We start from the raw sequence: 27,751 nt of genomic DNA, 5'->3' as shown, positions 1-27,751 counted from the left end.
AGCTGGCTCCAGCTTTTGGAGGGCCATCGTCCCTTAGTCATCCACTTCAGGTTTTAAATACTGATGGATGAGTTTGCATTCTCTGTGATTTTAATTCTTTATCACATGTGCGTTGGAGACTTCTTGTCTATGTGCTGTGACAAACTTGATAAAGAGAACAGCAGCAAAAGCAGTCGGCTTTCCCAACACCTGCGTGCAGCTGAAGTGGCGAGCGCACCAGTTCCTGGAACACCGCTTGCCGGCGAAGCTCAGGGCACCCACTTGCCCTGGGTGCTCCATAAGGCACTCTGACCTGCCTGCTGCTTCTCTTATCTAGAAAGTAAAAAGTGTTAGAAAGGCAATGCAAAGAAGAACAATCTCTCCCTTGAGTTGAGTGTGGAAAGACAGAAGAGGCTGATCTTCGCTTTTCACTGGCATATAAGTGACCCACACTGTTGCTGAGGAATGGTCACAACTCTGGAGGAGGACAGTGACAAGGCAGTTGTCCTTTGTGAGGAGGGAGAATTGCTAGTCAGGAGTAGGCCATGGGTGTTTTCAATATTTGCTTTTGTATCTAATTCACCCACAAGACAGCAAAACAGTCTGAGCTGTTGCAAGCGTGCCTCCTGTGTAGAGTGCAGGGTCATTATGATGCTTAATCTAATGCTTGTCCTTAGCTCAGCTCCGAAAGAGTTTAGGTCATGATTTCAATCAATAAGGCAGCATAATTTGCAGGCTTTGAAAAATTTACATTTGCTTTGGATATATTTGTGTCCTCCTTGTTGTTGTTTCTTTTGAAGATTCCCAGGTGAGGCCATCTTCGGTGAAAGAGAAGTGAGGTTGTCTGGGAGTATGGCAATAAAACTTGTCCAAAAACAGCACTGTGGCGTCTCCCACTCCTGGCTCGGGAGTTGCCTGGAAGGCATGTTCCATGGGGTCAGGCATGCTGCTGCACACCACTGCCCATCTGCCCTCCTGTCTGGGCGCCAGGCGTTCTAGAAAAGAGAAAGAAATCCCAGTTTCAAACCAGTAGTAAACCGGAGCATTTGCAAATAACTTTGATATTTAAGATGTGGGCGCACTTCAGGAAATGTTTGGTCATGCTTCTGAGGCTAGGAACGACCTGGTGGATTAAAAAAAATTTTTTTTAAAGAAAGCCCTATTATGAGAAACAAAGAACTGTTATCAAAGTATTGAGCAAATACCATTTGGCTCATTCCAAAAACACTACCCAGACATTTTTTCTTATTCTGGACTCAGAGGTGCCAGAAATATTGAGTGCTGGCAAGCATTCCTGACATATGAACAGTGTTACTTTTAAAGATAGTATCTTTATGTGCCTGACTTCTGATTTCGCAGTTTGAACTGTGTTCTCTTAACTCTAATACTAAATTGATCTAGGACCTTGACTAAGTCATTTCATCCTTGGATTTTCCAGCCTTGCTTGACAGTAAAATGAAAACCACAATCCTTGGTGCCCTTTCATCAGAGGGCGTGTGGAGAATGAATGGGTGGTGGTTATCGTTTGCTCTGAGCTCTTGTACTGGACAGGAGGCTCGGGGTGGCCACGCCTCACTCTGATACATGGTGTGTGCCCACCCTGTGTTGAGAAGGCGGGGCTTCAGGAATGTGTTTGTTCAGGCCATTGCAGGGGGAGCAGAGTAACCCAGGCTTGAGGCGTCCCCAGGCTGCCGGGCGCTGGGTGCCAGTGTGGGCCGGGGGGGGTACTCATCCGGGCACTGTCCTCTCCAGCGCGGCTGTTGTACCAGTAGCAAGAGCTCATGCTCGTGCCTCCCTCGGTGGCGTTCCCTGTGCTGGTCATGCTGAGGCTCTGGGGACTGTCACACAGTACCCCCCCCCCACCCCAGCTCCCCAAAACAAAGTGGCCATATTCGCTATCTTCTTCTGAAAAGGTAGCAAAGACAGTTTTCAGAATCAAAATTTGTCTTTTAGATTGAAAAATCTTGTCTCCATGAAGCAATCACTGCTTTGTTCTCTTCTGACTGTTGCCCGCAGATCAGCCCTGCTAGGGCCATGAGCCGTGCTGGCATCTGCTGTTGCTGCCGACAGCCCTGAGTGCCGCCTCCAGGTGAAAGCTAAAGCTCTTCGTTCAGTTTCTTTTTGATTTTTGTCTTTTTCCTTTAATTATAGAGATAAATATTTCCAAGTCTGTTGTTATTAATTTCACTGAACCAAGATAATTTTAAGATTTTTAAAACAAATTTTTACTTTTAAGAAATCTATTTTTTAACTGAAGATTTAAAACGTATATTTTTTTAAATTATTTTTTTCCTGTGCCATATCCTGGATTCTTTCTGAAGGCAGTAGGTCTGGTGTGGACTGTCCTCTGCTCATCCAGGCCTCGGCCCCTGCACGACTGTTCTTTCTGCCTTAGCCTTTGTTGTTAGAGGAGCAGAGCTGTTTAGGAAGGGACTTGTTCTTTCAGTTCGTAGACGGAGAACGGGTTTACTGACCTATTTATTGATCTGATGAGTCACACCCAGTGCAACTTCCACTGTTTCGTTGTCTGCCGCTGTCATTCAGCAGTCCTGCTTCCTTATCAAAGAAAGATGGTGCAAGATCTTTTAGAACTCCTCCAATGTGTGTTTTATTAATGTGATTTGTAGGAGAAGAGGAGTTCGTCCCTGGTGTGAAGGTACAGGCATAGTGGCTGACACTCTTCCTCTCCTGTGGCCATCATGCCTTGAACTGTTGGTCAAGATAGTGTTAATTTATACTTGTTGGGTTTTAAACCTTAAGCAGGATTTCTGAAATGGTTTCATCTATTTCTTCCATTTACACGTGAGGAAAGTATAGGTCCAGGGAGACTCAGTGCCTGTGTCTGTGCCCATGACGGGGAGTTGCTCCAATGTTGCATCAGTGGGATGAGGCACAGCACATGGGCCTGCAGGTGCAGCCTGGAGTGGTGGTGCCTGTGTGCCTAGCCTTTCACCGAGCATGCAGCAGTGATCACATGTGCTCTTCATCTGCTTCTTGAAGGTTGCAAAGATGCCTTCTTGGGCACGTTTAAAAATTAAAAATCACCTTTGAAATACAACTCTTAGCCCCACATCTGTTGAAATACAATGTAATCTTGCTATACCCTGTGCCGTAATTCATACCCTTATCCTAAAATGTGATTGTACCACATCTGCAGAAAAAACTCCCAGATCTTAGAGCATTGACATTAGTTCTTTTCTCTGATCTCCTTCTTATCAAGAGGTTCTGCTGCTTGACTCTTAACCTTCATAAATGTGAAAACTGCCTGGAATTCAGTCTTTGTACTTGTACCTAAGATTTAGACCAGATTGAAACTGGAGAATGGGACATTGCTTTCCACTGAAAAGAAAGTACCAATTCATTGTTACTTAGATAATCTTTTTGTGTGCATTTTTATTATTTATTTTTATTTTTGTTTATTTTTTGAGACGGAGTCACGCTCTGTCGCCCAGGCTTGAGTGCGGTGGCGAGATCTTGGCTCACTGCAACCTCCACCTCCCAGGCTCAGACGATTCTCCTGCCTCAGCCTCCCAAGTAGCTGGGATTACAGTCATGCGCCACCACACCCAGCCAATTTTTGTATTTTTAGTAGAGACAGGGTTTCACCATGTTGCCCAGGCTGGTCTTGAACTCCTGACCTCAGATGATCTGCCTGTCTCGGCCTTCCAAAGTGCTGGGATTACAGGCGTGAGCCACCGCACCCGGCCTCACGTGCATTTTTAAAGTGGTAAAAATGTTCTTAACCCATTTGTCAATTGTGGTCGACGTTGAAAAATGTACTTTGAAGTTCAGTCTACGTATTTTATATCTTCTAGGGGCCCAGAAGACACCTGCTTTGAGTTTGGTGTTTTTCCTGCCATCCTGAGTTTCCCACTTGATTACCCGTTAAGTCCCCCAAAGATGAGATTTACCTGTGAGATGTTTCATCCCAACAGTAAGTGCTTTTGGAAGTAGTTTTTGTGGTACCAGGATAGGTACGGAGATAATATTATCAGCCACCTGAAATGTGGTATATTCTATATGTCTATGATGTAGATCTTTAGAAAACACTTCTTATGTTTTGAAATTCAGCCAAGTAAGCATGGTGGTATTAAGCACATGATTTCAATTTTGAAGGTCAGTTTAATATAGATAAAAGACAACAGGCACCTAAAACCGGATGCCATTTGACCCAGCCACCCTACTTCACTGGGGAGGAAGTTTTACACATGGGTGTGTGCTCAGAAGGGGTTATGCTAATCTTTGTCATAGTGTTATTTGTAATGGTGAAAATTTTGACTTAACCTGGGTTTTTAACACAAGAATAAATTAAGTTATATATTGTATTAGTCTGTTGTCACGCTGCTAATAAAGACATATTCAAGTCTGGGTAATTTATAAAGGAAAGAGATTTAATGGACTCACAGTTCCACATGGCTGGGGAGACCTCACAATCATGGCAGAAGGCAAAGGAGAAGCAAAGGCACATCTTAGTGGCGGCAGGCAAGAGAGTGTGTGCAGGGGAACTGCCCTTTACGGAACCATCAGATCTCGTGAGACTTGTACACTATCACGAGAACAGCACGGGAAAGATGTGCCTCCATGATTCAGTACTTCCCACTGGGTCCCTCCCATGACATGTGGGAATTATGGGAGCTACAATTCAAGATGAGATTTGGGTGGGGACACACCCAAACTATATCATATATGTTAGAATGTGATGTAGATTTTTTAAATGATCTAAAAGAAGAATCAATGATACAAAGTAGTATTTGTGTTATATTGACTGGGAAAAGCAGTAGCACTGTTATAATTTCCTCTTGAAAAAGAAATTCACATGTAAATGTATATATAACTGGAAAAGTAAGCACAAAAATGTTAAAAGTGATTCTTTTTTCAGATTGAAATTTTTTTTCCTTTTTGTAAATCTTTTTTTGCCCTAAAATTAATATATATTAATTTTAAAAGGAGGAAAAAAATAAGGTCATTTAAGTGAATTGTACTGTAGCTTATTTGAAAATGTGTCCAGTAGTAGGAATTGGAATTTCTGAACAGCTGTAGTTTTTATTTTTTCCTTTTACATTCTTCCTTTTACATCTTTGCCATAGGGGTTTTCAGGACTACCCCCCCACCCCCGGCCACTTCACTGGTGGAAATGCCGTCTGCCAATAGACTTGCTGTCCTAACCCTCGTTTAGGACTTCTCATTTACTGCAGATATTGGTACACATAGGTAGTGGGCGGCTGCCTGAGAGAGACCATTTGGTACTTCTTTTCTTATCTCAAAGCTGCTTCAGTCTTGTGTGCACAGGGGATGCTCAGAAGCGTGCCTTCTTTCAGGGAGACTGGCCATGCGCCTGAGTTAGATGATAACATGGAGGTTCATCACACGCTGTCTACTTGAGTGTGTTTTTGGAATTCTCCATAATAAAAAGTTAAAAAATACAATTGATAGGTAAGAGTAATTGAAGTAGTTTCAAATTGGTTAGCTATAAAATGCAACTATGAAGAGGATTGTAGGTAATTAAAATACTAAGATTGTATTGAGGAGAAATATATTATTCAGAACAATACCTGTGACATGGCATTAGTGACAAATATGACCAATAAACTGATTACCTTATGTGACTATGTACTACAGGTGGTCTGATTATTATTTTTAATGTTCTGGTAATTATTTTTAATGCTCAGATAATATAAATTTTTGCCTTACTGTAATTGGATTATTTTGATTTTTTAAAAATTATCTTTGAGAACTATAGGTCTACCAATATCATAAAAACTAGTCAATAAATACTTTAAAAACAATTCAACACACGTACTGAAAGTTGCTGGTATACAGTGGTGAGCAAATAATAGCAGACCTTCAGGAGCTTATATTCCAAGGACAGGGATGGACATTGATAGGAGAATCACACAAACAAAATGCAAAGTCACATCAGGAAGTTCTGGGCAGCACCTTGCAGAGGTGGTGGTTGGATGGACCATCTGTAGGGAGTGAAGCAGGAGTTACCTGAGTGATTCGGGGAGGAGGGGCCCTTCACATGTGCAAAGGCCCAGCGCAGGAAGTGACGGGAGAGGAAGGCCGGGGCCAAACTACCTCAGGCCTTTTGGTCAATACTGAAGGTTTTGATGTTTTCTCCTGGGAGTGGCGGAACTCCATTGAAAGACTCCAAGGGAGTGGCATGACCAGAATGATCTCTGACGGCTCGCTCTGGGTACAGTGCAAAGGACAGGTGGGAGGAAGCCAGGCAGGCCCTCGGCTGTAGTGGTCTAGGGTAGAGACACCGGCAACTTGGGAACTAAATGTGGGCACTAAAGATAAAGAGATGTGTGTGGATCCACGAGAGGTTTAGGACATGGCACTGCTGGGACTTGGTGAAGGAGGGGCTGTGGCAGGGACACAGGTGCTTTTGATGCTTCTGTGGATGCAGTGTCACCCTATGGGACCAACTCCTGGAGAAGGCAACACAGAAGTGGGAAACTTCCTGATTTTGTGGATGTGGATCTTAGGTGGACAGCCTGATGTCCAGGGCAAGTATGCATCTAGTTTCTTCCACTCTCCTTGAATGAGAAGTTGTGGTTCAGTTCCTGGATAGTAGAGCGTTCACCACTGAACGTTCACCACTGAAACAATGGATGAGTGGAAACACATAGGACCAGGTATGAAAGACAAGACTGTTTGAAGGTAAGTGATCGCCATTCACATTTGTGAATTTTCATGAAATTCAGAGCTTATTAACTCAGGTGAGTTAAATAAATGTATTTTAAAATTGCTATTTCTATTATTATAACTTTAATGGCTTTATAATTTTACAGTTGAGTCTATCTAGATGGATTACTGCATATCTGAGTATATATGGAGCCATCTGAGAATTCCTCCCAATTTTATGTAAAAGAGGACTGATTAAATGCTGTGAATTGAAAATTTATTTCTCTTTATCAGACCTTGTGTATCTTTTTAATGATGATATTTGGTGGAAAGGGATTTGATTTAGACACATTGACCTACATTCCAGGTTGTACTGATGATAATTTACTTATTATTAGAGTAAGCTACCAAGAGAAATCCTGGTGCCTTTCTTTTTGTAGATATTTACATAATTCCAGTTGCCTTTATCATAGCCATGTGAACATATATTTTACACAGACCGGTTCAGGGATTTAATGATAGAATTAGAAATAGCTAAGGAACTAGCTCTGAAAAGTATTGTAAATAATCCTAATCACATTAGATATTTTGATAAAATATTTGCCAGATAACCTTTCATTTAGTCTTTTTGTATATATTGCTTGAAAAAAATTCATATGAAAGTGGATTAGACTACGACAGCTGATTAGAACTGGCTGGGTCAGCCTGGAGCCTGTCAGTGAGTGAGCAGGCCCCACCGGGATTCCTGCAGACATGAAGCGTGACACTCAGGGCCCCAGGCTATGCCCCAGCTGTGCAAACAGCTTGGTTGCTGTGTCTGCAGTCTTTGTTCTCATTATCTGTGGAGCCTGCCCAAGCGCGGCGATGCCTCGGGCACCATTCCTGGGCTCACTTGGCTGCCTCTGACCCTTGCAGTCTACCCTGATGGGAGAGTCTGCATTTCCATCCTCCACGCGCCAGGCGATGACCCCATGGGCTACGAGAGCAGCGCGGAGCGGTGGAGTCCTGTGCAGAGTGTGGAGAAGATCCTGCTGTCGGTGGTGAGCATGCTGGCAGGTAAGGCCCGAGCCTCCTGGCAGGAGCTGCCGTGGACACCCAGGCTGCAGGTGTTCTCCAGCCTTGCGTCATCCTGTCTTTAGAATGTCCTTTTCCTCATTTGCAGTTAGTTTACACATGCTATTGCCATTTAATGTTATCTGCCTACACTTTTCCAATTGTAAGCATACCTTCTAGCATAGCCTGGGGTTGTATATTGTATTGTCGGCCATAATTAACTGGTCTCTGGTCCTTGATCGTCTTTTTCCCTCAGTAGGTGTTTATTGAGGACCCACTACATGCCACACACTGGACTGGGGGTGTAAAGCTTCGTGTGACAAAGACCCCAACTCTTTGTTCCTACGTTCTAGGGAACTGTCCAAGCCTACCAGCAGTTAGAGGCCAGTGGGATGCACCCTAAGATCAGACACATGCAGGGACTCTCGGGCCACTTCCTGGTGGGGCTGTCTGGGGTGTGTTTAGGACATGTAGGTGTTGATGAGGTAGGAGGGAGGGAATGGGGTTTTGGGGCAAAGGAAGCAGCCTGGGCTGAGGCCCAGAGGCAGGAGGTGGCTGACTTGATGGGGGCACTGCCAGCTCATTTTGGCTGGAGCCAAGGCTGCAGGGAGAGGAGCCCCAGCAGACCCTGGGGATTGGAGTTGGGGGTGTGATGTCCTGTGAGCTGTGCCTTCGAAGGGCCATCCTTGCAGCAGTAACCAATAGTGTGATGGAAGACAAACAGAGACATCGTGGTGTTGCAGTAGCCTGGAGAGAAAAGAGAAGGGCTGAGTGGTCCCAGGGCTAAGAGGAAGGGGTGGGTTTGGGAGACCTTGAAGGTACAGGCTCTGGGACTCCTGGTTCTTTGTCTACCAGAGGTGCTGCTCTGGGTTCAGGAGACAGCAGGATTTGGGGAATAGTTTGAGGTGTGTGGGACAAGGGGCCTCCATCCACAAAAGGGGGTCAGACACGAGAGTGAAGATGTGGGGTCATTTCTGGATGAGGCAGTAGGTGATGGAGTAGGACGGAGGGTGACAGCATAGCAGGGAGGGGTCTTCCAGGGCAGTCAGGAGGAAGGGTGTGGGAAAGGAAGGCGGCAAGTCCGAAAGGAAAGAGCAGACCCAGCAGAGGGCCAGGGGTCGATGCCAGAGTGAGGCCACTCAGCTATTCTCTGCAGAGCCTTTGGGTGCCGTGGAGTGGGGTCTAGAGGGATGTGAGGTCAGGGCCTGTGACGCGAGTGTGTATCCTGAGAGGGCTGAGGCGTGAACCCTCTTCATGTGCTGAGTGGAGGGAGCCAGGCCAGGGGATTGGAGATTGGGAGGGAGGCAGTGGCTCAGGCTGTCCTCAGATGTCAGCTGTGGGTTTTATCCTCATCAACTCTGCTCTGAACCGGTCCCCACGTGCATTCTGAGCAGCGCCACCGCCGCACTGCACAGCTGCTGCCTCAGCACATGTCATCCAGTTCTGGTGGTCTCTCTCCGTTCTGCCTTCCGGCAGGCCCTGGCTACTCCCTCCGTGCCTCCTAACTGCAGTTCTGCAGTGACTGCCAGTGCCGCTGGCTAGGGGGTGGGTCAGGTATCCTGGGGTCAGGTGTCTACCTTAGGCTGCACATTTGCTTGGGATTGTCTTGGTAGGAGCTGTGAGGGGCAGTTTTGCTGAGAGGGCGCTCTGTGAGAGAGAAGCCACACTGCAGAGTGTCTTGAGAAAGGTGAAATAAGCAGCAGGTGGTCCCCGTGTAGCTTGTCCGGGTGCCAGAAGTGCAGTGGCCCAGGAGGCTGCTGTGGGAGGCCGTGTGGGCCTGTGCTTAGGTGGTTGTCGCATGTTCCACAGCAAGACAGATGACAACTTGTCCTGGTGTCTTCAGACACTCAGAACGCAGGAGTCATGAGAGTGGCTTTCGTTGAGACCTGCGTGGCCAGCACTCTAGAGGTGGGGCCGACCCCATGCAGTTCTCAGGTTCTTTGTTTCTGGGACACAGCTCTTGAAAGCCCCCGCCAGTGTTTTAAATAAATGGGAGACCTTGCCAGGCTGCTTACGTATAAGACTCCCTTTTACATGGAGGGTGTTCCCTTTTCTTTCAGAGCCCAATGACGAAAGTGGAGCTAACGTGGATGCGTCCAAAATGTGGCGCGATGACCGGGAGCAGTTCTATAAGATTGCCAAGCAGATCGTCCAGAAGTCTCTGGGACTGTGAGACCTGGCCTCGCACAGGCGCGCACACACCGCCAAGCAGCTCAGCATTCTCCCCCGGCACACTTAGTGACAGTGATGCTCTGTGCTGGTACCAAACAAGGCAGACTTGCAAGAACCATGGCATCTTTTTTTTTTTTCAAACCTTTCCTACTTCAAACAGGCTTCTCTTCTGAAATGATGACTTAATGTCGAATATTGACAGCTTACTGCAGTTTTACAGTATTCCTCACAAAGGGCTTCAGGTAGATTATCAGAGCTGTCAGCACTACCTCTCCCCGCTGAAACCAGCAGTTCATGGCTTCCTGTGGATTCCCTCCCTCCCTGGAGTGTTGAGGGGGTTGTACCTGCCAGACTTCCAGGGGACGATGGAATACCCAGAACGCTCCTTCTGAAGAAATGGGGCCCTGTAGCTGCAGCACAGGGGAAGGGCCCGGCACCCTTTCTGGGTCCTTCCTGGTTCCCTGTGGGCCCCATGAGGAGTCCATTACTTCCTTTCTTCCTTCATATTTTACAGGCAGATGCTTTTCTTATAATCTAATTACATCTTTTCATTTGTTATATATTACAAACCATCACACTTAGAAATACTTCCAGGAAATGCTTTTTTGAAGTGTGAATTAATAAGAAATGGGGTAAATAGAAAAGAAATTTATTGCTGATTGGCCAGGTGCGGTGGTTCGTGCCTGTAATCCCAGCTCTTTGGGAGGCCAAGGCAGGTAGATCACAAGGTCAGGAAATTGAGACCATCCTGGCTAATACAGTGAAACCCCATGTCTGCTAAAATTACAAAAAATTAGCTGGGCGTGGTGGTGCACGCCTGTAGTCTCAGCTACTCAGGAGGCTGAGGCAGGAGAATCGCTTGAACCCGGGAGGCAGAGGTAGCAGTGAGCTGAAGTCCCGCCACTGCACTCCAGCCTGGGCAACAGAGCGAGACTCAGTCTCAAAAAGAAAAAAGAAATTTATTGCTGATCACAAGGACAGACAGTTTTTTCCCGACCATACTCATCAAAGATTTACGTTTGTATATTAGTAACTAGTGCATTACTAGAGCAGGTGCAGGTGAGGTCTTTAAAGTTTCAATGAAAGTTTCTTCTGGATCTACAGAAAAAATTTTTTTTTTTCAATCTAAAAACTGGAAATTCTAGGGTTTTTGTACATTTTGGATGCACTGGGAATTTATTAGCACAAAATCATTCTTTGCAACTCAAAATTCAGAAGGGACTCTACCATATCTTAGCTCAGAGCACAGAGGAGTGCCTTATCCCCACACTTGACTGGGCTGTGGAGGTGGGCATGTGGGCCCCTGGGCCCAGGCTGGGGACAGAGCCCTTGTTTTGTGACTTAGGATTTTGATGTGGTTCCCATGTTCTCTAACAGGGCCAGCTGAGCAGCACAGGCCAGGAGGCCACAGTGTAAGCAATAACAGATCTGCCACATGCAGAAGCAAATATCAGGCCTGTCGCACACGGGCGGCATTTAAATAGGAATTTCTATTTTTGAAATAAGGGATGGTCTATGAGGCATACAGTAGATTTGATGTGATCCTTTTCTCCCTCCCTTCCATAATGGATCGTGGTCTGTGTGACTGAACCCACACAGAGTGTCATGGGTGACAGTTTCTGGTTGAAGTAGCTCCACGCCTGGCTTCTGTGGACAGCAGATTCTTTTCCTTCTCACAAGGGGCTCATTTAAAATTTGGAGGCTGGGTGCTGTGGCTCACGCCTGCAATCCCAGCACTTTGGGAGACTGAGGCGGGCGGATCATGAGGTCAGGAGATCGCGACCATCCTGGCTAACAGTGAAACCCTGTCTCCACTAAAAATACAAAAAATTAGCCGGGCGTGGTGGCGGGCGCCTGTAGTCCCAGCTACTCTGAAGACTGAGGCAGGAGAATGGCGTGAACCCAGGAGGCGGAGCTTGCAGTGAGCTGAGATCACGCCACTGCACTCCAGCCTGGGCAACAGAGTGAGACTCTGTCTCAAAAAAAAAAAAAAAAAAAATGGAACGCAGGGCAAGAACTCGTATTTGGAAGGAGATGGGGGAAAGGAGCGGTATTATACCTATGTTGTATTTGCAGGCAAATGAGATGGAGCCCTCTCTGTAAAGAAGAGTCATTTGTGCAAGTAGACGGGGTCTGTGGGTGCAGGCCCTGGAGGGGCACACAATTGCCTGGAGGCTTCTGTGAGATCGGGAGAGGGAGGAGAGGCAGTCTCTTGACAAAATAAAGTATTTTTATTCATTTGTATTTATTAAATGAAAAAACAATCCCATGGTGTCCCTGTTGTGTGGTGGAACCTAATGACTGTTGAAATAAAGTTCTGTGTTTTCCCTGCCCTGCAGTGTGTGTCCCTTTGTCGTATTGTCAGAGGAGCCTGTGGCCACTGCCCCCAGGGAGCACACCAGATCATCCCAGCTGGGATTCCTCACGGTGGGGGCTTTTCTGCAGACTTGGGTTAGCTCTGGCATGTTTTCTTCTGTTTCTGATCTCCCTTCTGTCATTCTGTGGTCTTCCTCTGGAATTCTCAGGTTAGTTGGGGTCTGTGAGACGGATGTGTTCACTAACCTATAAATGACATTTTGCAGCTTTTTCAGCAGATGCCATTGTGTGAGTGGCACATTTGACCACTAGAAGCCAGCAGGCTGTTCCGACTGCGCTTCCCTCCTGCAGTTGCTTAGAAGCACAGCTCCCTGTCATCACTCCTCTGTGGTCCTCTGTGGTCACGGTTGGTTGCGATGAGACCTGCCTCTGCGTCTTGTTACTTAGCATGTCAATAAAGAGGCAGATTCCTGTGTCAGTGATTTGCTGTTTCTGTTTTGGTAGTTGGCGGTCAGCTTTCCTTTGTAATCCTGTGAGGCAGGGTCCCCAGGCTTCCCCAGGTGCTGGCGCCTCGTTCCCTGGGCTGGTTCCCAGGCTGCTCCTGGTGGGGTGCACTGGGCGAGTGCCTCAGCACAGGCCCCCAGGCATGTCTGTTCTGCCCTTTGCCCAGTGTTCTCACTAAGCATTCTTTTTAATGGGTAAGAACTCTAATGTGATACTGAGTTGGGGTCCCCAAGACCACCCAGGGCGGCGATTCTCCAGGAGGACAGAGGCCATGCAGGTCACGGTAGTCACGGCTGTGATTTCCCACAGGGAGGACACTGAGCAAAATCGGCCAAGGGAAAGGTTCCTGGGGCCGAGTCCAGGGGCACCATGCTCAGCTTTGGAGGCCTCTCCTGGGGTGGGGGTCACGCAGGATGCGCCTCACTCCCCTGCAAGCAGCTGGGACTCTGCGTGTGCGATGTTGGGGATGCCCTGCCTGGTGATGTACCCGGGGGCTGGTCACGTGAGCAGCTTCTGCCTGGGCTGCGCTACAATTCCAGACTCTCAGCAGGGATGTGAGTGTTCTGCCTAAACCACCTTGTACAAATAGCACAGGCCCAGTGAGGCGGGGTTCAGGGAGCCCCTCGGAAATCCCAGTTCCCAGACGCCAGCCAAGGGCCAGCCCGGCCAGCGGGCCTCAGGACGGCCGTCCCCACTGTATGGACCCTTTCTGCGCAGATAACCTTGGGGGTTGACAGTGATTTTTACCATTTCATTTGCTCTGTGTTTCTGGGTTTTGTCTGCTGGCACTGGTTTGCCACAGTTGTTTGCCTGTCTGGCTGAGTGCCGTCCTTGCTTTTCCCATGCAACTGTCTGCTTCCTGGGATGGGGAGGGCTGCTGGGGTGGCCAGGGAAGCTCTAGGGTCTCATCTTCTGGGTGTTGGGGCTTTTCACCCTTCCTGGGGGTTAGCGGCCCCAGTTCACTGCTTGGGCCACAGCAAGGGTGGCGTCCACAGCTCTGACTCTCACTTCTGGGATTGCTGCACCTGCTGGGGCTTCTCCAGTCCAGTCTCTGTGTAGATGAGGTTGCTAATTTTTCAGAGGAGTGCTGTTCTGTACCAGTTTCTTCATAGGATATGGAACTGCTCCAGCTGCACAGAAAGGCACCCCAGGGCAGCCCCAGCTTCCCTCCCCTGGGCGTGCCTTGCACCGTGGCCCCCTGAGCTGACAAGGTTTCTGCAGGCTGGAATTTGTGCTGGAGGCGAGGGCCCTGGGGATGCTACCTGGACACAAGGAGGGGACAGGAAACAGGTACAAAAATTCGGGGCTGCCAAGGGGCAGTGAACACACTAAGGACAGGTGGATTCTGGAAACCCTGCCCTGGAGGGGACCGCGGGGCCGCTTGGGGTGGGGGCAGGGTTTGGAGAGGGGCTGTGAACAAAGCCAGCCCCTCTGGGTGTTGGCCTGGGGCCTGGACCCTGGGCTGGGGGGGGCACCCTGGGAGGAGGTCTCGTCGTGCTGATGTGGCGTGGTGGCCCCATCTGGGAGGGAATGCTGTTGGGCCCAGGTCCTGGCTGAGCCCTGTGGAAGCTGGAGGTGTTCAGCTCCTCAGATCTGTCCAGGTTGTGACCCGTTGTCACGAGAGCCTGGCTTTGTTGAGGGGACAAAGCAAGGTGAACCTCCCTGCAGAGGCAGGAAACACCAGCTTCCTCCCCCAAACCCCGGCACCACTCAGCCAGCCATAGCCTGTACCCCCTCACCATCCCAGACACACCTTCCAGGCCTCAACACCCACCGAACCCACCCACTGGGCAGTGCCAACTGTCTGGTACCCCGAGGCAGGTCTGGTGCCCCCGAGGCAGCTGGCCCATGCCCTTCGTCATCCCCTGGTGAACATCTGTAACCCCTGCCCTTGGCCTCACCCCGTTGAATGTCCCAGCCCTGCCCTCTGCTGGGTGGGCGTACTGGTTCGGGGATCCCATAGGAGCGTCAGGGAGATGGGGCTCTCCACCTTTGTGCCCCTCCTGTGCCCCCGTTCCCATGCCTGGACTGTGAGCGCTGCTGGCTGTGTGGAACCTGACCTCCAGGGCCCGAGCTCTGACACCAGAAGTGGGCAAGTCCTCACACGTCCGGGCATCTTCCCCTCTGAAGGCTGTGAACCCAGCCATGAGATGTCCGAGGGCGTGCTCTGAGGAGTTGAGGTGGGGGAGGTGAGGTCATTTGCCAAAGCCCCAGCCAAGAAATGGTCCTCGCCGTGCCCCGATGCATCGCTGAATCTGCAAGGCCCCCCACCCTCCAGGACTGTGGCCCCTCTGCCTCCATGGGGTGCGGTTGGTGGCATGAGGCCCACTGCACCCTCCTATGCAGTGTCCACCTAGACCCAGGGGCCTGCTGGGCAGCCTCCACTGCTCCACCTTCCCCCGCTTCAGGTGCTGGCCTTTGCGACACAGCCACCTCATGTCTCTTCTCGCACCCTGGTCTGGTCCTCTCAGTCCCCCCACCATCAGGCTTATTAGCCCACCTGCTGCACTTGGCAAAGCCTCACCTTCCACTCGGGGCCAGGAGACACCAGGGCCCGGCCCTCAGCACCCTCCCTTACATGCCTGGAAGTTCCTCTGTCCACCAGCTCAGTGGGGAAGTGCTCTGGACACCCCAGCCACTTTCCTTCTGCTCCAGACTCCAGATTTTCCTCCCCCTGCAGTGGCCATGCATGTTGTCTGCCTCCCACAAGTGTGGCCCTGCGGCCCTGCCCCCAGCTGGGTGGTGCACTGGTCAGGTGACTCACTCCCCTACATCCTTATCAGAACCCCCCGGGGGCTGGGGTGAAGATCGGCCAGCCTGGTAGCTGGCAGTGCTGTTGCTCTAAGTTGCTTGTCATAGGGATAACAAGAACGCATCCTGTGGCTTTCTTTTTTGAGTACAATTTCATGAGAGGCTAGGATGGCAAAGTGAAAGGAACTGGTTTTTCAGGTGTGTAAGTACAGAGCATTCAGCCCCATCTCTGTGGTCGGGAGATGATGCAGGGCCCTATCTCCGGTTTAGGCTTTGCAGTGGCACCCTGTCGTGTGACTGGGTGGGGCTGGGTGCCTTTGTGTGGGGACCACAGACCTGAAAGCTGCTCCTGGCATTGCCAGGAGTGTTGTCTGGGGCTTGCCAAATAGGCATGGGCAGAGTTGGCGTGGGGTGGCGGGGGGGTCGGAGGGAGGGCAGGATGTGTTCTGTGGTCCTGCCCTGTGGGCAGAGGCTGACGTGGGGCATCCCCACTGCTGCCTGGTCAGTGGCTGTGGGTGAGCTGTGGGCCTGGCAGCTGAAGGTGGCTCTGGCCAGCCTGCTGGGGCTTGGCCTTCCTCAGACCCCAGCAGCTGTATGACCTGGGCTAGCGAGGGAAGCTGTCTAGGTCTTTGTTTTCTGGTCTGGGAATGGGTTTGATGGCAGTCACATCCCAGCCCTGAGTGGTGGTGAGGATTAAAGACCATGTGTGCAAAGCACAGAGAACACGGAGTAGCTCGGGAGACAGCAGCCCTCCCTGTGGTGGGCGTGTCCAGGAGGCCACCCCCGCCCACCTCTCGGGGCAGGATCTCCTGTCTCGGTCCCTCCCAGCCCAGCGCATGTCTGAGCTGTGGTCAGGAAATCTTGTCCTCAGCTGTGCCCCTTGCCCCGGTCAGCTCTTCAGGTGGCAGTGGGCACATGTGTGCCAGGAGGGAAGGGGGCATCGTCCTCACAAGGGTGACATGGGGCCACCTCCAGGGCACAGCCACGGGGCCACCTGAGACTTGGCAGCAGTCAGCAACATGGCTCCTGGATGCCTTCCCACCCAGGCCTGTCCGAAGGAGAGCTCCTCCAATGTGGGGTGGATGGAGCCGCACCCTGGGTGGCATCCCTCCAGGAGGTCACCCACTGAGAGTCCTGGGCCTAGCTGCTCACCCTCCCACCGCAGGGCCAGGTCCCTACCAGGCGGCCACCATCTCGGATCCTCAACATTCCAGTCTGAGTCTGAAGAGAACTTTCAGATCAGAGCACGAGTTCCATGGGCCTGGGGCGGCATGTGCTGGGTGTGTGGGTGCCCCGAGTGCGCCAGGTGTCCCGGGTGCCCCAGTTGTGCCAGTTGTGCTGGATGCCCGGGTATGCTGGGTGCCCTGGGTGTGTAGGTGCCCCAGGTGTGCAGGGTGTCCTGGGTGTGCTGGATGCCCCGGGTGTGTAGGTGCCCCGGGTGTGCTGGGTGCCTGGGTGTGCCGGGTGCCTGGGTGTGCCGGGTGTCCCGGGTGTGCTGGATGCCCGGGTGTGCTGGGTGCCCGGGTGTGCTGGGTGCCTGGGTGTGCAGGGTGCCTGGGTGTGCCGGGTGTCCCGGGTGTGCTGGATGCCCGGGTGTGCTGGGTGCCCGGGTGTGCTGGGTGCCTGGGTGTGCAGGGTGTTCTGAGTGTGTAGATGCCCCGGGTGTGCTGGATGCCCGGGTGTGCTGGGTGCCTGGGTGTGCAGGGTGCCCCGGTTGTGTAGGTGCCCCGGGTGTGTAGGTGCCCCAGGTGTGCTGGGTGTCCTGGGTGTGCAGGGTGCCTGGGTGTGCTGGGTGCCCGGATGTGCAGGGTGCCCCAGGTGTGTAGGTGCCCCGGGTGTGTAGGTGCCCCGGGTGTGTAGGTGCCCCGGGTGTGCTGGGTGTCCTGGGTGTGCAGGGTGCCTGAGTGTGCTGGGTGCCTGGGTGTGCAGGGTGCCCCGGGTGTGCTGGGTGTCCCGGGTGTGCAGGGTGTCCCGGGTGTGCAGGGTGCCTGGGTGTGCTGGGTGCCCGGGTGTGCTGGGTGTCCCAGGTGTGCTCGGTGCCTGGGTGTGCTGGGTGCTTGGGTGTGTAGGTGCCCCAGGTGTGTAGGTGCCCCAGGTGTGTAGGTGCCCCGGGTGTGCTGGGTGCCTGGGTGTGCTGGGTGTCCTGGGTGTGCTGGGTGTCCGGGTGTGGTGGGTACCCCAGGTGTGCTGGGTGCCTGTCCCTTGGACGTCCCATGACAGGCACATCCCTGCTGGGCAGGGAGCATGTTGGACACCTGCCATGGCCCCAGCCTCTGTGCGGGGCACTCCTGTTTGCTCAGGGCTGGTGGAGGAGCAGCGGGAAACCAGAAGAGTTCTCAGGTTGTGTGCGTGTGTGGGGCTTTCTGGCAGAGGACTGTCTCGTTGGAACCAATTCAGATGGAAACAAACGTGGAAGGTTGTCCTTTGCTAATGGATCTTTGAAATCCTGGATAATATACTAAATGAGTTGGAACCACATGAAACATCTGCAGCTTAAGGGCAGAAGAGACTTTGGGATTCTCACGGGTTTCTCCTGCTGGACTGGTTCCCACCTGAAGGAGCTCCTAAAGCAGAGGACGGGGCTGCAGCACGATCCCAAATGTCCCGGGGGGGCCGATCCCACCCAGACCTCGGGTTCCACGTCACCAAGCATGTGTGTTTGTGCACACCTGTGTGCAGATATGTGCACACATGTAGGAGAGTGTGTGTGCCTGTGGGGGCGTCTTTGGAGCAGTTCCAGCAAAGCATTTGGCCTGCTCTTTTGTGAAGTTCTCTATCTCTCGGTCTCTGTCTCTCCATCTGTCTCTGTCTCTTCCCTCGCGCCTGGGCTGCTCCGCAGGTGTCCTGTCGTGTCAGCCCTGACTTGCTATGGAGGGTGGAGCCCAGGGCAGTGAGGCCAGCGGCTCGTGGGCTCCAGGGGCGTACATGGTAGAGATAGGGCCCGAGCAGCCCAGAGTGGGCACCTGGGAAGGCTACTCATCCCAGCCCCAGAGCAGCCCTGCAGGCAGCCAGCGTTGGAGCACACCCCTCTCTCCTCCCACAGGGGCTGCTGAGAGGTGGATGTGGCAAGAACCTGATCCCTGGAACTGATGGGGACGTGGGCAAGACAAACACGTGCCCTTAGCTGGCCACTCCTGGGCCTGCCTACAAAGACCCCAGGGCTGGGTGGAGCTGGGTCGCCATCTGGGCCTGGGAGCTGCGTCCCTGGATGGAAGACAGGTTGGCTCCTCATCCTGCCCCCACCAGCCACGTAACCCTCCTTGATGCCGTGGGGTCACGAGAGTCTGTGTCTGGTGGCTCTGACGAGACTGAATTAGCTACCTAGCAAGGGTACGTAGCGAGCCTAGCTGTGGCAGCCCTTCCTGGTTGAAGTTGGCAGTTGCGGCATGGCCAAGGTCCACTCTTAGCACACTGGGAGCTGGACAGAGAGCTGCAGGCCCTGGGCTTCCTGGCCAGAGGTCCTGGAATCGGCTTGCCAATGCCTATCCATTCCGGTTGCTTCTAGCAAGAAATGTGAAAACGTAACCTCCAGTTGAGTGTGATCTCCAACCCAGTCCCCTTCTGTGTTTGTCACAGGGGTTCCTAACGAGGGGCTGCCTGGCCTCCTGGGCACACTGGGCGGCATCTGCAGACCTTTCTGGTTGTCACAGTGAGGAGCTGTCGGCCTCCAGCGGGCAGAGACTGGGGTGCTGGCCAATGGGCCTGCAAACAGGGACCCAACCCCGGAACTCAGCTGGACCGAGTCAGCCTAACCTTCCACTGGGCTGCTTCTGTTTGAGAACCCAGGGCTGGGGTTTGCCATAGACAACGATGTGGGTGGTGACAGGGAAGGAGAGGAGGGCAGAGCCCGTGACATGCCGAACACCAGGTGCTGGAGGGCAGTGGGGTGGGGAATGGACCAGGGAGCTACCCGGCCACGCCCCTGCACCACCCTCGCATGCCAGACCCCCACACCTGCTCACCCACACAGTGCCACGCCCACACACGCCCAGGCACACAGCCACTCACACGTGCTCACACACACATACACACTCACCCTTTGCTCTCTGTTCTTCAGAATGTGCCGTTTCTATTCACCCATCTTCAAGGCCACTGACTCTTCCACCATCTCCATTCTGCTGTGCGCCCATGGGGTAAAATTTGTATTTCGTATGTTGTATTTTTTAGTTCTACAGTCTTTGTGTAGGTTTGTTTCCTGCTCTCCGTTTCTCTGTTGGGAACGCCTGTCCTCTCACGCAGCCCAGGTGTGCTCACCTTTGCCTCCAGAGGACGCTGCCGGAACTGCCTTAGAGCCTCGTCTGATGGTTCCAGCCTCGGCTGCGTCTTGGGGTTGGCATCTGTTGATTATCTTTTCCTCGAGAATTGTAATTTTTAAATTCACTATATGTTGAGTAATTTTATGTGAATATTTTGAATGTTATGTTTCCAGACTCTGGTGGTGGCGGCAGAGCTCTCGGGAGCTTTTCTGTGCGGCGTGGACCTTTTCTGTGTGTGTGCAGCTTTGGGGAGCCAAGAACATTCTTTGGTCCATGCCTGAGTGAGAGGCCTTGCCCAGCCCTCTTCCCAGGAGCTCCAGGGCCCCTTCCCCACCGTCTCTGGCTGGAATCTGGAATGCTCTGAGAATGTCTCCCCTGCTCCGTGCAGCTCAGCACAGCTGGAGCTGCCTCAGAACAAGGCAGTGATGAGCGTGGAGAGAAAAGCAATGTAACTGTTCGTGGAAGACGCCCTGGACTCTCCCCTTCTCCAGAAGAGAACTGTTGCTCTTGGTCCCCTTGGCGCTTGAGAACTGGTGGGTCCACCTGAATTGGTCCGAGTTTGGTTTTACCATTTGTTGGGTGGAGTCTGAGAAATGTCACAAGGGCCTCCCAAGTCTCTGTACCTGAGTGGGACTCCGTGTCCACCCTCCGTCTCTCCTGTGGCTCCTGCCAGGGCTTGCCTTTAGGCATGGCCAGCGTCTAGGGTAGACCTACTTGAGGGTGTCTTCCTCACTTCTCAGTTGTGGCCTTTCTAGTTTCTCGGCTGGATGCCCAGGGGATCTCAGAGGGATTCGGGGGCTCTTTCCATGCTGGCCTGGCCAGAGCTCTGTGTCCCCAGCACCCTCCACTTCTTGTTTCCTCCCCCCTCAGCCCAAGGCAGCTTCTCTGTAGGTTGCCACGTGCTCCCTCCGGGCAAATGCAGCAGCACCCAGCTGAGGCCTTGGGGCCCCATGAATTTTAGGCCCCGCCTCTGTGCCCTCCTGCTTCCGTCTCCAGCTCCTAGGCTCAGGGGCCCTGCCAGGCTCTGCCTGGAGTCAAGCCTCTGTGCCTGGGTAGAAATTGCCCTGGGAAGGGAGCTGTGGCATCTGCAGTGTGTCCTTCCCCCTGGATCACAGCCTTCACCCACCCGCGCCTGTAGACTGGTGCCTGTGCGTTCCGTCCAGTGTTTGACTGTTTAGGGCAGACGTGCTAGTCCAGGACTAGGCCCCCATTCTAGTCAGCAGCAGAACCTTGAGGGAATTCACACCTTTATTTTGTATTGATTCCCTTGTTAGAGCCAATATGTGTCACTTTTTAATTTGAAAATCGTGAAATAGCGATGGGAACGTTGGTAATCTGTGGCCTGCCTTTTGCAGGTACAACTCTGCCCGACTGCTCAGACCGACCGCTCTTGCTCAGCACTCTGAGGAGCAGGAGTGGGTGCAGCCAAATCTTCTGCGTTTTCTCCTGAAGTCTGCTGCAGGGAGAGAGTGAGGGCCGCGCACCTCCAGGGAGGGGACGCAAGCAAACATAAGTTCAGTTTTGACACCTGTTCGTCACCCTTTAAAGAGCGCATTCAGAGCTTATGTGATGCTCATTTTGGCTTTAGTCATTGGGCGTCTGAGCCCACACTCGGCGTTTGGAGGCCTGGTTTGGAGATTCCGACAGACCTTGGCTAAGGCCCATCCAAAGAAGCAGGAAAGGCCAGAAGCCCCATCTCAGAGAGGCCGCTGCCCATCAGTGTCGGTGCCCTGAGCTGGCCGTGGGGGGTTGTCACTGGGCTCTGTGCAAGGACACCAACCACTGCCATGAGGGCAAGACCCCCTGGGCAGGGATGGTCATCTGGCAACACCACTGGCCTGATGTCCACGGGGAGAAGAGGGGCCACGGGGCAGCAGGGGCCGCTCAGCTCCAGGCTCTTTCTGGGTTGTGGCTCACAGGGGGCTGGCAGGAGGGCATGCTGGCCTGGTGGCCGGGCCCTCCCACTGTGGTGGGGTTTGCTGTGTGCCCAACCAGAGCCCTCTGTAGGGGTGGAGCAGTCCCTCGCTTCCATGGCTGTGGGAGCTGGAGAAGCCTACCAGCCACTGTCAGCCAAAGTGGCCGGCTGATTGGAGAGCGTGGCCCCGAGGTGGGGCTTCGGCCTCAGCCAAAGTGGCCGGCTGATTGGAGAGCGTGGCCCCAAGGTGGGGCTTCGGCCTCAGCGGGCTCAGGGAGGGCTGGAGCCTCAGCAGAAGGAGCCAGGTCAGGGTGGGGAGGGTTCAGGGCAGCAGCTCGTTCTGGAATGAGGGTGGAGCTTTGGAGTTTAGGGAGAGGCAGGGGCTCCTGAGCTGGCCTGGTAGGGCTGTGCCTGGGGGTGGGGGATGTGAGGGAGGCGTGGCACAGCTCTGGGGGGCCCTGTAGCCCGGGATCCAGACTGACCTTCGGGAATGTTCACTTGTCCTGTTGTATGGGAAAGGATGGAGCCCAGGAAGGAGGAGACTGTGGCGGGAGCCCAGGGGCCAGCTGGCGACAGTGAGGAGGGGCTGCCCCAGGTATCACAAGGGGCCCCACGTTTACGAGGGACCACAAAGACACAGCTCCAGGGTAGGATGAGGGGCTGCAGGACCTGGGGGCAAACAGGCTCCGCATACACACAGGTGTGCACCACGAACTGCCCAGGGCACCAGTGTGCAAGCCCTGGACAGGTGACGCCTGATGTTCCTCCACCTGGGCTCGTCCCACTCCTGGGGCGCCTGCCGCGGGGCAGATACCTCCAGCCTGCAGGGCCCCGGGCAGCTGGCAGCAGCCCCATGAGACAGCTCTCACTTGCCCACACTCAGTGTGTGTGGACCGCCTCTGGTCCCTCCATGTGCCCTCCAGACAATGATTACAAAGTAATTAACCTACATTTAGCCTGTTTGTCATAAATAAATTAGCCACCTGAATCATCTGATTTGCCAGCCTACACAGGCTTGGTTACCAGGTGAGTGTCTCTGCAGGGGGAGCTGGGGTCCCTGCAGCCCCCATATCAGGCTGCTGCTGCCATGTCCACCTGCATGCAGGTGGTAGAGGAGGTCACCCATGGGTGCCGGCTCACACCCCAGCTGGGCCTTGGTGGCTGAGGGTGTCGCTCATTGTACCTGGAGCTCCGCACTGGCAGAGAGTGCAGCCTGAGGGGTTTGCCTCGGACACTGGCTGGCCCCTTCCACCTATCCCTGAGGGCTGAGTGGGTGGCATTGGGGGAAGACCCCACAGGCCAGGGAGGTGGCACCCTCTGGCTGCAGGACCATGCTGGGCCTCAGGAACTGGCCCTGGGGGTTTGTGGACCACACCGGGCTGCCTGTGGCCACTCATGCGGCAAATACCTGTGGCCTGCGTATGGTTTTGTGGGGGTCCCGGCTGGGGACATGTTTCTGTCAGTCAGAGTGGGCCTGGCTTATGCTGCAGAAGCAAATGGTTCCCAAATCTTAGGGCTTGAGGTAAGTTTGCTTCTCGCATTCATTACCAACCAGTCCAGTGAGATCTTCAGAGGGGCTCTGTTCCACAGAGTCACTCAGGGACCCAGGCTGGTGGGGCTTCTGCCACTGCCTCGTGGCACTTCTAGGAAGGGAGTCCAGCCCCCCAGACACTGGGGCCTTCCCTCTGTGTGCCCAGTCCATTCTGAGCCAGGCATGCCTTGGAGGTGTGTTTCCCCCGAGACCATTTGCTTTTGCTTCTGCTGGGGGCTTAAGGGAACTGTCAGCCAAGCTCCTCTTTAAACTACCTCCACTGATGCTTTCGTATTTCACCCAGCCTTGTGCTGGTCTTCAGCGTTCAGGGACTTTGGGGTTCCGTCTCCACACCTCTTCTGACCCCCCCCCCACCCCCCAGCTCTCTACTGTGTGGTCTCCTCTTTGGCAGCCCCTCCTCAGCTGCCTCTTCCACCTGGGCTCTCTGGGATTCCAACTGGGCATCTGCTTTCCAGCACTTGCCTCCCTCCACAGTCTCCTCATGGTTTTCTTGAAACGTCAGTGCACGCCCTCCCTACCCTCCCTGTCCCAAACTGTCTGAGTGGTCCAGTCATTGTGGCTGGAGCTCCAGTCACCACCCCCAGCTGCCCCATCAGGTCCCAGGGTCCCCGTATCTTCCCCATCAGGCCCTGCCTGAACACATGGCCCCATGTCCTGGTGATTCTCAAACTACCCCACCTGCATTCTAGGTTGTTCTCTCTCAGCTGGACCGTGGCAGTGGCCTCTCCTTAAATAGACAAAACACTGAAAAAAGCCTTTTAATTTTCAATGAAAAATCAATTTATGATCATTTTGGAGAAATTAGAAAAGAAAGGTTAGCAAAAAGCTGGATCTAAAATATATCCATGGTCTGGATCAGCACTGCTGATAATTGCTTCTTGGTGCCCTGATCTCGTGCCCTGTCTTTGGACACATGTTATATTTTAATACCCGGCACAGTGCTCTGTACCAGGATGCTGGGGATGGCAGAGGTGGCGAGGGTGGGCCTGGTCAGAAGCAAGTGGGAGCCTTTGCATGCTGCCTGTCTGCTGGTGTCTCCGGCGCCGAGATGGGGCCCCGATGGACTATAGTGACCGACTCCAGGGCACAGACGGCGTTCAGCCCTGCACGTCTCCTGATCCCAGACTCACAGCCTTTCTCAGCCTTTCTCAGGCCCTACGCACATTCCCTCCAGTTGGCATTCAGGCGTCTGAGTGGCCCCCCACTTCAGAGCCACCTCAGAGGCCCTATCAGTCTTCCCTGTGGCAGTCAGGTCTTTTCTACCATGAAAACCATTGCAAACACTATCTTTGTTCATATTCTTGACTGTGTCCTTAAGACGGCTGGACAGCTGTTGAGGGGAGCAGGGAAGCAGAGGCCCCATCACATGCTAAGACTAGACAAGTGTTGCAGGCCGAAAGAGTGAGGGTCGTGATCCACTCAGTATACCACTGGAGGCTGTATGAGTAGACAGCAAACTGTTCTCATAAATGCAGAATGCTGGCAAACTGACAAACTGCGTCTGCTGCCCCGAAGAAATGCTGAGGGCAGTTACGCGTCAAGCGCGGTGTTTCTTGTGATGAGGCACATCTGAAGCCTGTGAGCAATAATGTGAACCTGTGATCAATCAAGCAGCCCTCCGATCGTTACCTCCTCCTCCCTGCTCTTTCTACCTAATAAATATGAAGGGCTGTAGAAGCTCGCGGCGGTGGCCCTTGCTCACTAGAAGCAGGGAGCCCTCTTCTTCTTCCCCAAACCCCTTCTTTCCAACAGTTTAAGTTTTCATTTCTGCATTTGTCCTCCTTCGTTCAGTCCCGTGGTAACTGTAGTAAGTGTGGCAAACCGCAGCAGACAAGTCTCAAGAGAAACGTTTGTCCACAGGGTTCGATGTGGGGTCTGGTGGCCCTGCAAAGCAGATCTGGGGCCCTTTGGGTCATGCCTGGTGTCCAGACCTCCCTGCTCCTCCAGCATGCTTTGGTGCTGTAGCCATTGGCCTTCTAGAACCTTCCCACATTCCTGAACTTCAGTATTAGTGCCCTCCTCCCTCTTCTTCTCCATCACTCCAGTTCTGTTCATTCTTAAATGTTTTTGTGTGTGTGAGACAGGGTCTCACTCTGTTGTCCAGGCTGGAGTGTGGTGGCATAATCACGGCTCGCCTCAGCCTCAACCTCCCAGGCTGAGGCAGTCCTCCCTTCTCAGCCTCCCAAATAGCTGGGACTACAGGCATGCACCACCACACCTGACTAATTTTTGTATTTTTTGTAGAGATGGGGTCTTGCTATGTTGCCTAGGCTGGTCTCAAGCTCTTGGGCTGAAGCGGTCCTCCTGTGTCAGCCTCCCAAAGTGCCGGGATGGCAGGCGTGAGCCACTGTGCCCAGCCCTTAAATAAATTTTGCAAATTAAAAAGTAATTTGAATTTTTACGGGGGGGGGGTGGTCTCAAAGGGTCTCAAATAAATTATTACAAAGAGGGTCTAGATGGTATTCTTTTTTTTTTTTTTTTTTTTTTGAGACAGGGCCTTGCTCTGTCACCCAGAAGACATTTAACCCGTTATACAGAACAGTCCCCTCTAAATGTTTGGGGAATGAGTGGTCCCCCAGGTGGCAGGATATTGAAGTTTCTATTTTACCAACCCAGCTGCTGTACAAAGAATGGGGGTTGCATCCAGGGGCATTTGCGTGGTGGGGGATCGTAGATTGGGAGTGGACCGGAAATGCCTCCCTACTGTCTCTTGGCTTCCATGAACACTGTGCGGCTTCCTGTGGCTCCTCTGAAGGAAGTCTGCAGTTTTCTTTGGCTGCTGTAATGCTTTGACTTTAGTTTTCTGTAGTTTCACTATGGTGTTTCTTTTTATCTATCCAGCTTGGATTTCTCTTGGTCTCTCAAATCTGCAGAATGATGCATTTTATCAGTTTTGGAAAATTGCCAGCTTGTATCTGTTTAAATGTTCCTTTCTCCCCATTTTCTCTCCCCTTTCCTTCCGGGATTGGAGTTAAAAATATGTTGGAATAGTCCAGGGACACTCATTTTGATCTTCCAACCTCCAGAACTGTGTGAGAATAAATTATGTTATTTTAAGCCTCTAAGTTTGTGGCAATTTGTTTGTAGTGTTTCAAACATGCAGATTCCACTTTTCATAATTTCTAGTTTCCTGCCAAAATTTCCAAGCTTGCCCAGATGTTTACATCTATGTCTAATCTGGAGTCTTTGAGGGTCTATTTTCTGTTGTTTTGGCCAGTTTTTGTTCATGTGGTTGTGTATCCTTGTATGCTTGGTCATCTTTATATTCTGGGCATTTTATTTGAAAACTTATTCATAAAAAATAATTTGAGGCCTGGTATAGTGTTATTTTCTTCCAGATAGGATTTTACAAATGGCTTCTGCTAGGTGCCTGCTGGCATCAGTATTTGGAGATTGCCTTAACATAATTTCTGGGTTTGATGTTTTCCTGGCCTGAATGCCTAGAAGCCAGGCTGCAGGCTGTGCAAGGGCTAATTTGTATTCTGCTCACCCTGGTCCTAGAATGCATCCCTTCTGGGTCCTGGCATGAGGCAGAGGTGCTTCCCAGGTTACCCACCATTTTTTTTTTTTTTTTTGAGACAGAGTCTCACTCTGTCGCCCAGGCTGGAGTGTAGTGGTGCCATCTCTGCTCACTGCAAGCTCCGCCTCCCAGGTTCACGCCATTCTCCTGCCTCAGCCTCCCAAGTAGCTGGGACTACAGGCACCCGCCACCACGCCCGGCTGATTTTTTGTATATTTAGTAGAGACGGGGTTTCACCACGTTAGCCAGGATGGTCTCGATCTCCTGACCTCGTGATCCGCCCGCCTCGGCCTCCCAAAGTGCTGGGATTACAGGCATGAGCCACCGCGCCCGGCCTGGGGCACCCACCTTTGTTGGGCAGACCTCAGTTCCTGTTCTCCAGGTCATGGGCGACTCAGCTCAGTTACTTAGCTGCCTCCTGCAGGTTTTCAAATACCTCCAGAGCAAAGCGGTTCCAAACCCTGGGCCCATCTCTTGACTTTCTATCCTCTCTCGGGTCTTGACCCAGGAGTGCTCACTGGCTTGTTACCTCTTTGATGGTATTCACGAGGTTTTAGACGTGTTTTTCGAGCTCTGGAAAGGTCTTCAGCATGAGGAGGGCACAGACGGCCTGGGCTGCTGCTGCACACACTCAGGTGGGTCTCTTCACTTCACCTCTCTGGTTTATGGACTGCTACACTGTTTTAAGTCCAGAGCTTAGTTTTTCATATCAGAGCCATATGTAGACACTTTTTCCATGGTTACCTCCTGTGTGGAGGATTCTCCAGGAAGCTGTTCTGCTCGTTGTGAACTGACTCCTCTGAGAAGCTGCAACGATGAGAAATCAAGGATTGACTGAAACCGACCCCGAGCCCGTGCATCCTGCAGTCAAAGCCACGGCCCCCTCTTCACTGAGGGCCTCGCACAGTGGCCTGGGGCTGGCGGAGAGCTGGGGCTCTGGCACCAGACAGTCCTGGAGCTGCCGCACGAGCTCCGTCATGTGGGAGCAGCCGCCGTGCTTGTGGACACAGAGCCTGGCGCGTGGCAGGTGCTCTGCAGACAGCCCCGTGTTGTCCTCTTCATCAGCACCATCTCTCTCCCATGCTGCTGGACAGAACCGGGCC

The 27,751-nt window shown here is 52.5% G+C and overlaps 1 protein-coding gene across 3 annotated transcripts in view, besides 6 other annotated features; it reads left to right on the top strand.

The window, feature by feature from the left end:
* Positions 1–12,632, top strand: part of UBE2G2 (ubiquitin conjugating enzyme E2 G2) — a 33,241-nt gene extending 20,609 nt beyond the window's left edge. For all 3 annotated transcript variants that reach the window (NM_001202489.2, NM_003343.6, NM_182688.3), the window contains 3 exons: positions 3,795–3,913; positions 7,525–7,665; positions 9,723–12,632. In NM_001202489.2, the coding sequence (NP_001189418.1) occupies positions 3,880–3,913; positions 7,525–7,665; positions 9,723–9,835 (288 nt within the window). In that variant the 5' untranslated portion in view covers positions 3,795–3,879 and the 3' untranslated portion in view covers positions 9,836–12,632. The remainder of the gene's footprint in view (positions 1–3,794; positions 3,914–7,524; positions 7,666–9,722) is intronic.
* Positions 11,687–12,187: an enhancer, noted in NCBI's record as "H3K4me1 hESC enhancer chr21:46188940-46189440 (GRCh37/hg19 assembly coordinates)". NCBI's record gives its function as "activates a minimal SCP1, AML or CMV promoter by ChIP-STARR-seq in naive H9 embryonic stem cells {active_cell/tissue: H9 hESC(naive)}" and the evidence as "EXISTENCE:reporter gene assay evidence [ECO:0000049][PMID:30033119]".
* Positions 12,484–12,778: a silencer, noted in NCBI's record as "tiled region #676; HepG2 Repressive non-DNase unmatched - State 15:Elon". NCBI's record gives its function as "represses a minimal TATA promoter and a strong SV40 promoter by Sharpr-MPRA in HepG2 cells {active_cell/tissue: HepG2}" and the evidence as "EXISTENCE:reporter gene assay evidence [ECO:0000049][PMID:27701403]".
* Positions 14,029–14,792: an enhancer, noted in NCBI's record as "H3K27ac-H3K4me1 hESC enhancer chr21:46186335-46187098 (GRCh37/hg19 assembly coordinates)". NCBI's record gives its function as "activates a minimal SCP1, AML or CMV promoter by ChIP-STARR-seq in naive and primed H9 embryonic stem cells {active_cell/tissue: H9 hESC(naive and primed)}" and the evidence as "EXISTENCE:reporter gene assay evidence [ECO:0000049][PMID:30033119]".
* Positions 14,793–15,556: an enhancer, noted in NCBI's record as "H3K27ac-H3K4me1 hESC enhancer chr21:46185571-46186334 (GRCh37/hg19 assembly coordinates)". NCBI's record gives its function as "activates a minimal SCP1, AML or CMV promoter by ChIP-STARR-seq in naive and primed H9 embryonic stem cells {active_cell/tissue: H9 hESC(naive and primed)}" and the evidence as "EXISTENCE:reporter gene assay evidence [ECO:0000049][PMID:30033119]".
* Positions 16,241–16,806: an enhancer, noted in NCBI's record as "H3K4me1 hESC enhancer chr21:46184321-46184886 (GRCh37/hg19 assembly coordinates)". NCBI's record gives its function as "activates a minimal SCP1, AML or CMV promoter by ChIP-STARR-seq in naive H9 embryonic stem cells {active_cell/tissue: H9 hESC(naive)}" and the evidence as "EXISTENCE:reporter gene assay evidence [ECO:0000049][PMID:30033119]".
* Positions 25,664–25,958: an enhancer, noted in NCBI's record as "tiled region #5612; HepG2 Activating non-DNase unmatched - State 12:CtcfO, and K562 Activating DNase matched - State 13:Ctcf". NCBI's record gives its function as "activates a minimal TATA promoter and a strong SV40 promoter by Sharpr-MPRA in HepG2 and K562 cells {active_cell/tissue: HepG2 | K562}" and the evidence as "EXISTENCE:reporter gene assay evidence [ECO:0000049][PMID:27701403]".

The sequence above is a fragment of the Homo sapiens genome, chromosome 21 (genome assembly GCF_000001405.40).
Source record: "Homo sapiens chromosome 21, GRCh38.p14 Primary Assembly".
In the NCBI taxonomy this organism is placed as follows: domain Eukaryota; kingdom Metazoa; phylum Chordata; class Mammalia; order Primates; family Hominidae; genus Homo; species Homo sapiens.
Note: the sequence above shows the minus strand (reverse complement) of the source record. Positions and strands in the feature narration are given on the sequence as shown.